At 45.0% G+C, this 16,620-nt stretch overlaps 1 long non-coding RNA gene across 1 annotated transcript in view; it reads left to right on the top strand.

The window, feature by feature from the left end:
- The first annotated feature begins 1,655 nt into the window (after positions 1-1,655).
- Positions 1,656-16,620, top strand: part of LOC105370062 (uncharacterized) — a 32,191-nt gene continuing 17,226 nt past the window's right edge. Inside the window, exon 1 of the long non-coding RNA XR_945515.4 lies at positions 1,656-1,692. This is a non-coding gene — a long non-coding RNA (uncharacterized LOC105370062). The remainder of the gene's footprint in view (positions 1,693-16,620) is intronic.

Raw genomic sequence — 16,620 nt, 5'->3', positions numbered from 1 at the left:
GAAGCAGGAACAAAGTAGAGATGCATCAAATGAGCTAAATCTAATCTAATTTTCCTTATTGAGACTGGTTCTTAGGACCCTTCTTTCATACTCTGGAAACTGGGACACACTTGTAAATATTAAGTGGTTGTAAAGAGATGGCCTGTGACATGCCTGCAATCCCAGCACTTTGGGAGGCCAAGGCGGGCAGATCACCTGAGGTCAGGAGTTAAAGACCAGCCTGGACAACATGGTGAAGCTAAGTCTCTACTAAAAATACAAAAATTAGCCAGGCGTGGTGGCAGGTACCTGTAATCCCAGCTACTGGGAGGCTGAGGCAGGAGAATCGCTTGAACCCAGGAGGCAGAGGTTGCAGTGAGCCGACATCACGCCACTGCACTCCAGCCTGATGACAGATCGAGACTCTGTCCCTCCCCCTTTCCCCCCCAAAAAAAAAAGAGATGGCTGTGAGTGGTGGGTCCTTGCATTTGCTCTTGTCCTCACTTTGAAGTGCCTACCTACACTCTTGATGCCCAGCTGAAGCTTCCATTTGTAGCACCCTGTATCATACATACCATTGTTTAGCATCAGGCTCACTTTCCTTCTGTAGAAAGACGCATAGGTGAAGTCTCCTTAATGCACTGAAGCCACTTCTGCACTTAACAGATGGTGGGCTTGAGTTTGGTATATGTATCTCCTTCCCACGGGTGTGACATCTTTCACCAGATGTCAGCCTCCACATGAGAACTTAACTCAGCAGCCGAGTTCTGAAAAAGGCACAGTGCCTTCTCTGAACCATCAAAGAATGAGTCTTCCCAATAGCTACAAATAACTACGAGTCACTGATAACTTATATCTGTCTGCTCTTTCTTGAAGGATATTTAAATTCAATCCTCAGATTAGAAATAAAAAACCTAATCAGATATTTCTGCCTCTATATACATATAGAGGTGCTAATCAGATATTAGCACCTCTATATAGAGAGAGACAGAAAATACACAGTCCTCACAAAAGTTCCAGGCATTCCAAAAGCAAATACCTACTGGTACCAAGTGCGCAACCCAAGTGACTGCAAGTGCATGATGAGCTGGTGAGGCTTGCGGTGCCTGAAGAGCATGGGCTCTCTTCGTGAAGACATTAAACATGAATTGGGCCAGACAAAGCTCTCTGTGGTCACATTAGTCCAGGTTATGGCCCCTGTGCATCGTAATGTGAAACTGTGATTAAGGCAAGAACACTTACCACAGTGTCTGATGGTGAATACTGAGTGTGAACTTGATTGGACTGAAGGACGCAAAGTATTGTTCCTGGGTGTGTCTGTGAGGGTGTCACCAAAAGAGGCTGACATTTGAGTCAGTGGACTGGGAGAGGCGGACCCACCCTCAATCTGGATGGGCACCATCCAATCAGCTGCCAGTGTGGCTAGAATACAGCAGGCAGAAGAAGTTGGAAGGACTTGACTTGCTGAGTCTTCCAGCCTTCATCTTTCTCCTCTGCTGGATGCTTCCTGCCCTTGAACATCAGACTCCAACTTCTTCAGCTTTTGGACTCTTGAACTTAACACCCGTGGTTTGCCAGGGGCTCTCGGGCCTTTGGCCGCAGACTGAAGGCTGCACTGTCGGCTTCCCAGTTTTTGAGGTTTTGGGACTTGGACTGGCTTCCTGGCTTCTCAGCTTGCAGACGGCCTATGGTGGGACTTCACCTTGTGATCGTGTGAGTCAATACTTAATAAACTCCCTTCCATATATACATCTATCCTATTAGGGAACCCTGATTAATACACAGTGTTTTCATGTGTGTTTGTTATACTTCAATCAAGATTATTATGTTATCATGATACCTGATACTTCCCCTCATGAAGGATTGAGTTTAGGTTTAAAATTGGAAGGCAAAGCAGCATTTATGAGGAGGCAGGTCTATGAGGCATTCTGAAATTCCAGAACTGCAAGCATCGCTATCTGCTTCTATTTCCTTAGGGATGCTTGGTCTTGAGCAGTTAAAGAAAAGTAAGTATGTTACTTGCCCATTAAAAGGCAGAATTGTAGCACAGAATCTTTCCAGTAAAGTGAGTAAAAGAAGGTACTTAATGGGCCGGGCATGGTGGCTCACGCCTGTAATCCCAGCACTTTGGAAGGCCAAGGTGGATGGATCACCTGAGGTTGGGAGTCCAAGACCAGCCTGACCAACATGGAGAAACCCCGTCTCTACTAAAAATACAAAAACTAGCTGGGTATGGTGGTGGGTGCCTGTAATCCAAGCTACTCCGGAGGCTGAGACAGGGGAATCGCTCGAACCTGGGAGGTGGAGGTTGCTGTGAGCTGAGATCGCACCGCTGCCCTCCAGCCTGGGCAACAAGAGGGAAACTCCATCTCAAAAAAAAAAAAAAAAAAAAGGAAGAAGATACTTAACAAATAAGTGAAAAGAGCCAAGGATGTTCCTGAAAAGAGATGTTGGTATTGATTTAGCCTATAGGCACCGTAAGTATACCTGAGGAAGGCTCACTGCAAACCACTGGCTTCTCCCGTTTCTAGATTCTGGGACATGTTCACGGTTTTTGGAGCCTTATGTTGGATCTGAGAAAGTCTCAGCACTCCACAAGTTATCCTTTCACCCAAATGCTTCTTAAGGACATTTTTTTAGAATTCCCCACAACCTGGATTTAAACTCAAGCTCTGATATTCACTACCTGTGTAGCCACTTGAGGTGTCACTTCCCTTGGACTCAGTTTCCCCAAAGAATAAGGATTGTAGTGGTAACTTCCTCCTGGGATTATGATGAGGTTGGATTAAGTGAAAAAGAAAAGAAAGCCCTTAGCTTAGGTCTTAACAGAAACACTCCTGATAATTATCCTCTCCAATTGTTCTGTTCAAATTAAACTCTATAGACAAAGCATGTTGTTTGGATATTATTTTTAAATCATCATAATCTTTTGAAATATGACATACATAACTAAGTAAATGTATAAATATATATGAGGCAGTGTCTGTACAATGACTGATATGGATAGTTGCCATTCGTGGTGATGAGAATCTGGGATAAATTCCCCATGACTGGTGCATGGGGTAGTTTGGAAAACAGAGGCAGGGGGGTTCCCTGAGGGCTGAACTGGCTAGAGTGGGCTAGGCCAAGTTTTAAGTGGGGATTAAGCAGGAGCTGGGTGTCAGGTAGGATGTCATGGGGACTGCTGTGAGCACAGGTCTGGGCTCGAGAGATTCAAAAATTGTGGGATTTCACTTTTAGGTCCCAGGATTTTCTCCGAAAGTGAGAAAATATGGCTACGTCTTATCCATCTTTGGATGCAGTAAAAACTAGAGAGAGAAATGAATAGGCAGTGCACAGAGGATTTTTAGGACAGTGAAGGTAGTCTGTATGTTACTACACTGGTGGATACACTATAAATTTCTCCAAATCCACAGAATGGACACCACCAGGAGTGAACCCTAATGGCAGTTATGGAGGCTGGGTCATAATGACTTGTTAATATAAGCTTATCCATTGTAACAAGTAGACTACTCTGGTGAGGGATGCTGAGAATGAGGGAGGCTGTGCCTGTGCGGGGAGAGGAGGGATATGGGGAATCTCTGTACCTTCCACTCAATTTTGCTGTGAATAGTTGGCCACGCACGGTGGCTCATGCCTGTGATCCCAGAACTTTGAGAGGCCACGGCAGGGAGGATTGCTTGAGCCCAGGACTTTGAGACCAGCCTGGGCAACGTGGTGAGACCACGTCTCTACAAAAACTTTTTAAAAATTACCAAGGTATGGGCCGGGAGTGGTGGCTCAAGCCTGCAATCCCAGCACTTTGGGAGGCTGAGGCAGGTGGATCATGAGGTCAGGAGATCAAGACTATCCTGGCCGACATGGCAAAACCTCGTCTCTACTGAAAAAAAAAAAAAAATTAGCTGGGGATGGTGGCACATACCTGTAATCCCAGCTACTTGGGAGGCTGAGGCAGGAGAATCTCTTGAACCAGGGAGTCAGAGGTTACAGTGAGCCGAGATCATGCCACTGCACTCCAGCCTGGTGACAGAGCAAGACTCCATCTCAAAAAAAAAAAAAAAAAATTACCCAGGTATGGTGGCATATGCCTGTAGTCCCAGCTACTCGGGAGGCTGCGGTAGGAGGATGGCTTGATCCCAAGAGGTTGAGGCTGCAGTGAGCAATAATTGTGCCACTGGACTCCAGTCTGGGTGACAGAGGGATATCTTGTCCCAAAAAAAAGTTTTATTAAAATAAAAATAAAATAATTAAATACACGCATAAATACATAATTGGTGAGCAAAAATAAATAAAGTTTATTTTTAAAAAATGAGTGTAGGTGAGTAGCAATTTGTGAATTTCAGTTGTCTTCGTGGCCTGGAAGCCAAATGGATTTGTAACTCTTTGGCAAGAGACTGTGGCATAGGGTGTGTCTGTGTATGAGAGAGACTGGGAAAATGGGAGATGAGTAAAACGGCTTCAGGCTTGGGGATGAAGTCAATTCCCTAATGAAATGATCAGACAGTGGAAACAGTTCATTTTCTGGTCTCACATTGTCCGTGTTTGTCTGTTTAATTTCCTCCACTTCTGTGTCCTCTATTGCGTTTTGTCAAAGCAGGAGCCTGCACCAGATACTCTCGTGAACTGTCTCCTAATAAAAGGAATCCCTTATCTTTGACAGGATATCATGGCAAACTTTTTTAATTTTATTTTTTTTGAGTCAGAGTTTTGCTCTTGTTGCCCAGGCTGGAGTGCAATGGCGCAATCTCAGCTCACTGCAACCTCTGCCTCCCGGGTTGAAGCTATTCTCCTGCCTCAGCCTCCAGAGTAGCTGGGATTACAGGTGCGTGCCATCACACAAGGCTAATTTTGTGTTTTCAGTAGAGACAGGCTTTCTCCATGTTGGTCAGGCTGGTCTCGAACTCCTGACCTCAGGTGATCTGCCCTCATCGCAAACTTAACCAATCAAGTGAGGAGGGAAATAATCATTATGAGACTACTGACTATTGTTACACTCTGTTAAATTTAGCAACACAGTCATTCCCATAAATGATTTAATACAAAGGGTCATGAAACATGTGGATGTTTAGATCTCAATCTCCTCATCCCATCAGCTTTTTGCAGTTTCATTGCCTTGGCTGCTGTACAGGTTCCATTTGAATGCCCTGATAGAGGACTATGGCACCTGACAGATAGCCAATGTGTTGCCTGAAGTTAGCGCACATTAAATGTCTTGTCACTCTGCAAAAAAAATGATAGTTGTGCAGGCTTCACTTTGGCTGGGGTAACAGAGGCTTGCCATAGGATCAGATGTACATCTGTTTTCAGTTACATTAGCTATATGCTGCTTTGCATGTTCTGTTTAATCATTCATTAAAATTAGTACCTGTTTTCTGTCAGATACCATAAGACTCTCAATAGGTGCCACATGTATAGCATATACACAGGGCGTGCTGTAGACTAAAAATATATTCATTGTTTGTGTGAAATTCAGATTTAGGCATCTATGCGAATCTGGCAGCCCTAGCCCTCAGTCGGTATGTAGTCTGGCGGAACCACCACCACATTCACAGACAGTCACAATGCAGTGCAGTCAGGGCTGTGAGGGAGAGACAGCAGTGAGCGCTTGAGACACTACAGCAGTGGCAGCTAAGCCAGGATGCTGGAGGCCAGAGAAGTCTGCCCTCAGGAGTTAACACACAAAATGAGGCACAAAAGACAATAAAAAATAGGCCAGGCAAAGGAGCTGAAGATGGGTCTTGAGAGAACAGGGACAGAAGGTATATCAGATATTCCCAGTGGGCCACCCTATCTATAGCTTTTGAAACATTCCATGTGAATATTCGACTCTACTATGAACTTATAACTTCTCATACATGTGCTTCTGTGCCTTACGTCTGCCCTCCTACCCACAACTGTGAAAAAGTCAACTATCTGACTGTTGGGTGGGTGAGACATCTGAAGAATAATAGGAACCTGTCCCTAGGAGCAGCCCCTCATGAATCACTCTTACTGGGTGGAGTATAAGTACCCCAGGTCCCTCACAGCTCAGATGGGAAAATTCTGAGACAAGTCTGCTGCAGTTTTTCCTGACACTTCCTCACCCAAAGATCTGGTGATCCCTGTGGTTGCTGGCCAGAGAGAGCACCCTCTGACATCTCTTTCTCTTATTCTACCAGGTTCCCACTTCTTGTCTAGTCTTTCCTGAACTTCTCAAATAAACACTCATCACTTGAACCTGTGCCTCAGGGTCTGTTTCTGGAAGAACCAAAGCTGGAGGTGAACACTGAGATAAGTAGCAGACACTGCCCGTGTAAGAACAACATACCCGCTTACAGCTGGGATATGGGATGTGGACAGTGAGTGCCCAGAGGTCAGGTTGGGCTTCAGATACAGTAGGGTATTTGGATTTATTCTTAAAATGGTAGGAAAATGTTTTATGGAAATAATCAGATGAGCAATATGATTAGATTAGTGTCTTACACATGGTTTTCTGCCGGGGATTTGGAGGAGCTGAAAGGAGGTAAAATGGAAGTCCAGGAAAGCAAGTAGGAGCTGCTTGCAGCAGCCATGCAAGGGGGCAGAGGAAGTTATGGGGTGCAGAAGTAGGCCCATGACACACCAGCAGCACCATGTGGACTAGGAGGATATGGAGATGATGGAGAGAAGCAATGGAAACACTGGTTCCTGCTTGCATGCTTGAGGAGACATCATCCCTTAAGCTAAACCAAAGGCCACGCAGGTCTCCATTTGATGGGAAAATGTTGGAATTAACTGCTTATTCTTCTGTGCTGCAAGGAAGAATCAGCATTCAGACAAAAACTTTTCTCAGCAAGGTAATTTTACTTTTGGCAGAAAGGGTGCTACCCGTCTGCAATCCTGCTTCCTAACCACAATGCGATTATCAAAATCAGGACTCCAGACATTAATCAAATACTGTTAACAAATTATCAAGTGCTTTTTACACTAATGTAATGGTGTTATGGTGGAGAAGCGTTTGTCATATACCTCACCTCACTTCTCTACCTGACCAATGGGGAGCCAGCTAGTGGGGGAAGGGTGGTTGACTCTCAGGGTCTCAGATTCCACCTGCGTGTCCTCTGCAGCCTGTGTCTTGTGCTGTATCACAGGCTATTACCCTCAAGAATGCATCTTTGCCCCATGAATTATCTCCCATTCCTTCCTTGTACAAAGAGGGACTCTGCAACCCAAAAGATAGAAGTATTTATTTATCTATTTATTTATTGAGACAAGGCCTTACTCTGTCACCCAGGCTGGGGTGCAGTGGTATAATCACAGCTTACTGCAGCCTTGAACTTCTAGGCTCAAGCAATCTTCCCACCTCAGCCTGCAGAGTAGCTGAGGCTATAGGCATGAACCACCTTGTCCAGCTAATTTTGCTATTTTCTTTTTTTTTTTAGAGATGGGGTCTTGTTATGTTGCCTATACTCGTCTCAAATTCCTGGCCTCAAGTGATTCTCCTAACTTGGCCTCCCAAAATATTGGGAATACAGGTGTGAACTACTGCACTTGACCAATAGAAACACTTACGTAAGTCTTGGGGTGGGTGCCACTTTGACCAAGAAATCTGTGATGATAGGTACGATGTCCACTGACCTGAAGCAATGAGTTTTTTTTTTTTTTTTTTTTTTTTTTTTTTTTGAGACGGAGTCTCGCTCTGTCGCCCAGGCTGGAGTGCAGTGGCGGGATCTCGGCTCACTGCAAGCTCCGCCTCCCGGGTTCACGCCATTCTCCTGCCTCAGCCTCCCAAGTAGCTGGGACTACAGGCGCCCGCCACTACGCCCGGCTAATTTTTTGTATTTTTAGTAGAGACGGGGTTTCACCGTTTTTTAGCCGGGATGGTCTCAATCTCCTGACCTCGTGATCCGCCCGCCTCGGCCTCCCAAAGTGCTGGGATTACAGGCGTGAGCCACCGCGCCCGGCCGAAGCAATGAGTTTTTACTCGTCCAATGAAATATACCCACTTAAATTCATATCTCTTCCTCTTTATGTTTTCTCTATATTCTATTCTAAATTGTTCAGATTAAAATATTAAAAATATGGCCAGGTGCAGTGGGTCATGCCCGTAATCCCAGCACCTTGGGAGGCCGACACAGGCAGATCACTCGAGCCTAGGAGTTCAAGACCAGTCTGGGCAACATGGTGAAACCACATCTCTATTAAAAATACAAAAAAATTATCTGAGCATGGTGGTGCACACCTATAGTCCCAGCTACTCTGGAGGCTGAGGCACATGAATCACTTGAACTCTGGAGACAGAGGGTGCAGTCAGCCAAAATTGCACCACTGCACTCCAGCCTGGATGACGAGCAAGACTCTGTTTCAAAATTATATATATATATATATATATATATATATATATATGAAATACTAATTATCTTCATATGTTCCTCACAATAATTAAGCTCCATGAATGCAAGCACTACATTTGCTTTATTCTTAGTGTCTGTTAGCTAATCAATGCTTGTTAGATATTTATCAATTGACAAAATCAATGAATAACTAATGCAAAACCAAGTACCTAAAGAGTTTCTTTAGATTCATGCCTTGGCAGAGGACAAAAGAGAAAAGGATGAGGCTGTTGCTGAACATTATTTGGTGCTTCTCACGTTAATAAACCCAGCAGATGGGAGGTGACAAGTGTTGGAAATTGTTCCTGGCCATGGTGTGAGTCACAGGGGGCCCTGTCTATGATCCTTTACATGATTAAGAGTTTACTAAGCAGAGGATATATTGGGTTTTATAGCATAGGGGGAATAGGTGGAGAGGAAAAAGATGAGAATTGGCCCATAAAGTGAGTTTCTTCATCTGTTTATAATTCATGTCTTGGCAGCAGATGCTCCCCTGCCCTGACGTTTGGAGAAAAGACAAACGCCGAGACGAAGTGGCAAGAGCTTCTTTTCTCCTTCCCCCGTGCCTGCTGCTTAATCAATATCAAAGTCCTGCTGCCAAGAGTGATGAATGGCTCAGGGGCATCACAGGTTGGTGGCTCCTAGTGCCATGTGAGCTGGCAGCTGCCACTGCCGTACCACCTGTGACCCACATGTGTCTTTCTGAGATGGCCAAAAACAAACTTTCTCTTCAAATGTTGCTTTTTACCCAATGTTGATCAACAAAGTTAATTAGTCATTAACCTCCAGGTATTCAATTAGGTTTTTAGGCTTTATTAGATGGAGGTGCCCTAAAACTAAATTCCCTTTTTTGAAAGATAAAAGTTGCTTTATAGCCAGTGATGGACACCAGGGTGGCTGGCGCACAGGGAGGAAGAGAAAGGACCATGAGATGAAGGTGCATGAGCTGGGGTCATACCACGCAGAGCCTCTTCAACCATTCTTGAGAGACGAGAGAGAGAGAGAGAGATTTAAATTCTAAGTGTAATGAGATGGAACTGAAAGCTCTGAAGAGACAGAGTGTCATGACACAATTTAATATTTAAAAGGATCTTTCTGGCCTAGGGCAGAAAGAACATCATAGAGACATACTAGGAAATTGTGATAAACATCCAGGAAAGGGTAGATCACAGTATGTGATATGGTTTGGATCTGTGTCCCTGCCCAAATCTTATGTTAAGTTGCAATCCCCAGTGTTGGAGGAGGGGCCTGGTGGGAGGTGATTGGGTCATGAGGGTGGATTTCCTTCTTGCTGTTCTCATGATAATGAGTAAGTTCTCAGATCTGGTTGTTTAAAAGTATGTAGCCCATCCCCCTTCACTCTCTTCCTCCTTCTCTGACCATGTAAGATGTGCCTGCTTCCCCTTCACCTTCCACCATGATTGTAAGTTTCCTGAGGTCTCCGCAGTCATGCTTTCTGTACAGCCTGCAGAACTGTGAGTCAATTAAACCCCTTTTATTTATAAATTACCCAGTCTCAGGTAGTTCTTTATAGCAATATGAGAATGGACTAATTCAGTGAGGAATAGGAAGCTGGCAGTGGACATAGAGATGTGTGGACTAATTTGCAATCTATCTTTGATGATTTTAATATCTTATTATATGTAAGGGAAGATTTAAAGCCTATTTAAAGTATACAAATTAAGATACAATTATTAACTTATTGCTTTGATATCACATGACGTTACTGGGCTTTGGAAGGTGAGCAGAGGCTGCCTGGTGACCTGCCTGCTGGGTAACCCATTGGTTTTGGTGGCACACAGCTGCAGAATGAAACCTGAACATCTGCGACCCTTAACAACCTCCATACTACCATCTCAGGTCCTGCAAAGTCTGTTCCTGGAGAGATTGCTTGGAGGAGCCCCAGCACGAACCCTACTGAAGATGTCAGCCACTTACGCACTAATGGTCATGCCAAAGGTGTTTTCTTATGATGTTCCTCAGCCGTGGACCACTGGGGTGCCAGAGTAGAACTGGGGATCCCTGCAGAAACAGAGTTATAAGCACTGGCCCCTCCCCACTCTAACCACAGTCACATCTGGGGTCCCTGGCAGCCAGTTCATCTCAGTTGATGGCATCTCTGTCCTTCCAGGTCAAAGCCTCTAACTCACTTTTGCCCCATTCATTTCTATCCAATCTGTCTATCCAATCTGTCAGGAAATCCTCTTGCCACCTCCTCCAAATATACACAGATTCTGACCACTTCTCACCGCCGCCCTGCTACTCCCGGTTCTCATCCACCATGGCCTTTCCCCTGGATTCTGCAGTGCACCCATGATGGTCTCCCTGCTTCAACCCTTGACCCCTTGATGAGTCAGGGTACTCCAGAGAAGCAGCACAGATAGGACAGGCCTAGATGCATCAAAGGAGATTTATTATGGGGATTAGCTCACAGTATTATGGAGGCTGAGAAGTCCCATGATCTGTGAGCTGAAGAATGAAGAAAGCAGATGCTTTGATTTAGTCTGAGTCTGAAAGTCTGGGAACCAGGAGAGCTCTGTTGTATTCCAGAGTCCAGAAGTCTGAAGGCCCAAAAACCAGGAACTCTGACATCCCAGCGCAGGAGAAGATGGATATCCCAGCTCAAAAAGAGAGAGAAGAGAACTCACTCTTCCTCTGCTATTTTGGTTTTTTTTAGGCTTTCAAAAAATTAGATGATGTTCACCCACATTGGTGAGGGTAAATCCTCTTAACTCAGCCCACCAACTCAAATGCTAATGTCTTCCAGAAACATCCTCCAGACACACCCAGAAATAATGTTTACCAGCTATCTGGGCACCCCTGAGCCCAGTCAAGTTGACAAATGTAGTTAACATATCATCCCCCATCCCCCCATGCACACTCAAGGGTGTGGCAGCAGCCAGGGGGCCCCTCCTAGAGAGAACATGAGGCAGTGCCATCCCATTACACTCAGAGTAAAGCTCAGTGTCATTTTACAGTGAGCCCTCCGTACCCACAGGTTTTGCATCTCAAATTCAAAAACGGTATTTGCTGGATGCAAAGATTGTAAATTTGGAGAGTGGATGTGAGCATCCCCAGATGTCAGTATCTGCTGGAGTTCCTGGAAGCAAGCTCTGGTAGATCCCAAGAGACTGTACCTCTCTCTCTCTCTCTCTTTTTTTTTTTTTTTTGAGACGGAGTCTTGCTCTGTCGCCAAGGCTGGAGTGCAGTGGCGGGATCTCGGCTCCGTATCTCTTTTAATATATTTCAAAGCTACACATGATCTCCTCCCAGGCCTTTTTGAGCATCTCTCCTCCTACTCTCTTCCTGACTGTGTTCTGCCCACACTGACTTCCCGGCCTGGCCTTTCTGGGAACACACTGGGCCTGCTCCCCACTCAGGGCCTGGGCAGTGTCCATTCCCTCTGCCAGGCACATGGTCTAGCTCAACAAGTCATTGCTCAAAAGTCATATCTGGCTGGGCGCCGTGACTCACGCCTGTGATCCCAGCTCTTTGGGAGGCCAAGGTGGGTGGATCACCTGAGGTCAGGTGTCCGAGACTAGCCTGGCCAACATAGTGAAACCCCGTCTCTACTAAAAATACAAACATTAGCCAGGCATGGTGGTGGGCACCTGTAATCCCAGCTACTCAGGAGGCTGAGGCAGGAGAATCGCTTGAACATGGGAGGCGGAGGTTCAGTGAGCTGAGATCGCAACACTGCACTCACTCCACTCTGGGTGACAAGAGTGAAACTCCATCAAAAAAAAAAAAAAAAGTCACATGTCCCATGGTTTACCCTCACAGCATGGTTTAAAATTGAAGCCACAGCCCTGCCCAGCCTGCATGCATTCTCAGTCGCCTTATTCTACTCTTTCCTTTGCTCCACAGTACGCATCTCTTTATAACAAGCCACATGATTATCTTCTCCTTTATTTCTGTTCTCCCTTTCTCCAGTCCTCAGAATAGAAACCCTACAAGTAGAGGAGGCTTTGTGTGTTTGGTCCCTGCCCTCTCGGAACTAACATTGCTGGAGAGGGAGAGATCACACACACACACACACACACACACACACACACACACACATCTATCACATGTGTATCATTTACAAGATGAGTAGAAATGATGGGATGTTTTTCTGGGGTTTAAGGCATATTATTTTCAACAGGATGGTTAGAGAAGATGCCACTGGGAGGGGACATTTGAGCAGATGCCTGCAGTTAAAGGGGAGGCTCTTTCAGATGTGAGGGAAGAACATTTCTGGCAGAGGCAACAGCAGGTGTGAGACGGGAACTTGTGCTGTCACAGTTATCGGTAGTGCCCTGCCCCACAGCTGCTGAGCCCACTTTCAAATCCATCCAGAGCTGTGGAGTTTCGATTCCATCCAGAGCCATGGAGGGCAGTTTCTTTGCACTCTGGAAGCTTCCTGGATCCTTGTACATCTTTGCCTGGGAGCTTTCTCCAGCCTTGCAGAAGATGCTCAGCCTGGTGCAAGATAGCTTGGAAATGCTGCCAAAAGCAACTCTCAGCCAAAGGGAGGGACGAGTCCTGGACAGACAGCCCAGTGTCTCTGTCCCACAGAGCATCTTTTCTGAGGCACATCATGCATCATTCCTTAGAAGGTTCCCAGTGGAATGTGGGCCCCAGCGACATAGGAGCAGACACCCTTTGACACATACCTGTTGACTTCCTCTTTCCCCCATCTCACTTCCCCCATTCTCTCACTTGTGATTTCTTGGGTCCACTTTCACCTCAACCTAAGTCCCTGTATCAGTGTCTGCTTTGGGAAGAATTCCAACTAAGACATATGCTAAGAATGAAGTAGCAACAACTGACTGCTCACCACAGATTGGAAAACAAAATAGAGTTGCCTAATCTCTTCTTTTCCGCTTGCCCTGGCTGGTGGTGGGGGGAGCTGCATTTGGGCAGAAAGGACCCAGAGACCAGACCCCTGGGGACAGGACAGGAACCAAGGGAGTCCCCGCAGGAGGAGTTGAGGGGCAGTGCCAGCCAGTGGGTGTCTATATGGTCCCTGTGTGGCATCAGAGCCTTGATGTTCAGACTGAGGTTCAGACCTGGGAGGAGAGAATGAGGGTCTGAGAAGAAGCCTAGACCTCGGGAAGCTGAAAGGGCAGGCAAGGAGCCCCTGCTCAAAGATGGTTGGAGGACCAGAGGATGGGGCTTGGCTGCAGGAAACAAGGCAGACATTCATTACGGGCACCATGGTGCAAAGTCAGAGATTCCCTCATTAACCTATTGATCTGATGCAAATGCATCCAACTCATCTAAAGCATGGGGCTAACAGTGTACTTTGCAAATTCTGGATACATATTTGCTAGGTGAATATGTAACTGTAGAGCAGCCAGGACAAGCCGCATTCAATGCTTTGCAGTGGTTGAAAGTGCAATTTATCATCTCATCACTCCACTCTTTTTATCTTTTTTTTTTCCAGAACTAGCAATAGCCAAGTCTCTGGTAATGCAAATTGGTATTAACTTTTTATTTCCTCAATATATCAGAAATTTAAGTAACTGCCATTCTTGTGTATTTATGCAGGGGCTTAGGTGCATGTATTATTCATCTGGAGATTTCTCTCTGTGTTCACGTGTCTACAGCTCCACATTCCTAAATGGAATTCAATGGAAGACAACTTAAGATCCATGCCTGCCCACAGGAATTTCACTAGTGTCAGCTTTTTTTTTTTTGAGATGGAGTTTCGCTCTTGTTGCCCAGACTGCAGTGTAATGGCACAATCTCAGCTCACCGCAACATCCGCCTCCCCGGTTCAAGCAATTCTCCTGCCTCAGCTTCCCAAGTAGCTGGGATTACAGGCATGCGCCATCACACCCTGCTAATTTTGCATTTTTAGTACAGACGGGGTTTCTCCATGTTGGTCAGGCTGGTCTTGAACTCACCACCTCATGTGATCCGCCCGCCTCGGCCTCCCAAAGTGCTGGGGAGATTCAGCGCTTTAAACATCCTCATTGACTGATGTTTGGCTCTCTGTGGAATAGTGTGCACGTGTTTGTGCAGGTGTGGGTGGAGGCTGAGTTACTCTGACCTTCTCATGCAGATATGCCCTTGTTCTCGGAGCAGGAAACGCCCATGGAAATTGAAGAAGCATTATCATCTCATGTGCTTTCCTCTCTCCTGCTCCCACTACTCACCAACTGAATGTAGGATGAGGAAGGCGTGAAAGTGTTAGAAAAACATTGTTTGGTTAAAAAGATCTTGACATCTGAAGGGGTATATCAACTTCAACTTCCATCTCCTGAGATGGTACCAAAAAAAAGATGGAACACAACTATTAAAACAAAGAACTTCAGATGGTTGCTTTTTACTGAAGTTGTCAGGAAATATAGCACTATCCAGACCATATTTCTTACTACCATATTTGTGACTGTTCCTAAAATTTCCACCAACACAGTCCCCCTTATGTTCCCAAAAAGCTCCCATTAAAATGGAAACTGACATCTGAATTTGGTCAATCTGCTAACAATTATTGAACATATTATTTCAAATCAGTTTTTCCATTATGGAGCTTTTATCTTGGAAATGACAGAGAGGGGTATTGAGGAAGTGACACACTGAATGGATATGTTTTGATGTGGAAAGGGGCAAAAAAAAAAAAAAAGAAATCCAAAGTATCTGAAGTCGTTTCTTTTGAAGTTTTCATTATTTTGACTTTCTAGTAAAGTTTTCCTTGGTTAATATTAAAGTATGCATGTTCATACACAGCATTTTAGAAATAAAGGGAGGCAGACTGGTACTGGAGGGACATTGCCTGAGATTTCTTCTGTTTAAAGCGATGAATCCTAACATATGACTGAAACTCGGAGTGTCTGCCATTGTGGTGGGCAGAACCTACCACTTCTGTTTCCACATTAGACTAAATATTGCACAGAACACAGTGGCAATGAGAGTGCTATCTTGCAAACATAGCTAAGATTGGAATTTTGGCTTTCCCTGTGGAAGAACTCTGTGTGTGACTATGTTTTTATATTTGAAAACGAGGAAAGAAATCTCTTTCATCTGATGATGAATTTTGTTTCTTACATGGGCCTTCAGCAAAGTTCAAAAACTGTGAGATGTCCTTCATGGAGCAACTGCTGGAATGCGCTTCATAGCAGCTGTTAAGATAAATAATTCACTGTTAATAGGTTCCAGGGGCATTCCTGAAACTGCCCACCAAGTTGGGTAATGGCATAATGGCGCAAAGCAAAGAGAAAATATGATTATTTATTCCCATTCACCCTTGCTGGTTATAATAAAAAAGAGACTCAGGCTCTATTTCCTAATCTTGTGTGTGTGTATGTGTGTGTGTGTGTGTGTGTGTGTGTGTTTAGATGGAGTCTCACTCTGTCACTCTGGCTAAAGTTCAGTGGCATGATCTCGGCTCAGTGCAACCTCTGCCTCCCGGGGTCAAGTGATGCTCATGCCTCAGCCTCCCGAGTAGCTGGGATTACAGGCGCCTGCCACCACACCCAGCTAATTTTTTATTTTTAGTAGAGACAGGTTTTCACCATGTTGGCCAGGCTGGTCTTGAACTCCTGACCTCACGTGATCTGCCACCTAACCTGGCTCTATTTCCTAATCTATAAGTCAATCATGACTGATGTACAGAGGAACAATATATCTTTGCAGCCTTAATTCTTTGGTAGAAGATAGTACCATTTTGGTTTTACAAGAAATCTATCCTTCTGTACTCAAGGTTCATTTCATTTTTAAAAATTGGCATCTCTACTGTCTAAATCACCCAATCTGAGGCTCAGTCATGCCATTTAAGATCCACAGCCGATTATGGAGTGGGGCAGAGAGAAAGTAGGAAGAAAACACATTAGATGCAGGTTTCTAACTGACCCACAGCCACAGATAAATGTATTTGTTAATATTTTGAAAGAGTTATACTTGCATGCACCTATCAGAAATAAGAATCTTTTTAATGGAAGCATTTAAAGTATAATACATTGTACATTTTTTTTTCCATTTGTCAATAAATTAAGATGGCTGAGCATGTGGGCTTGGACTGGGTCTCTCCCAGCCTCTGAGAGATGATGCCAAACCCCATCTCTGGATGTCTCTCCCCTTCCTTCTTCCACCCTATCCCACATTGGGCTGCATAATTCAACAGGGGCCTCCACTGACATTATCTCACAACAGAGTTATTGCAAGACCACTCATTTATTATAGGGCAACTCTTTGCTGCCTGTCACTTCCCTTAGGTTTCAACGTCAGTCAATGCAGGCACCATACCTGCTTTCCTGAGTGCCTCCTGCTATGTAGCAAGGGTCTAACCCTCACCATATATTTGAAA

This window comes from Homo sapiens, chromosome 12 (assembly GCF_000001405.40).
Source record: "Homo sapiens chromosome 12, GRCh38.p14 Primary Assembly".
Lineage (NCBI taxonomy): Eukaryota > Metazoa > Chordata > Mammalia > Primates > Hominidae > Homo > Homo sapiens.
The sequence above is the reverse complement of the archived record's forward strand: the minus strand, read 5'-3'. Positions and strand labels throughout refer to the sequence as shown.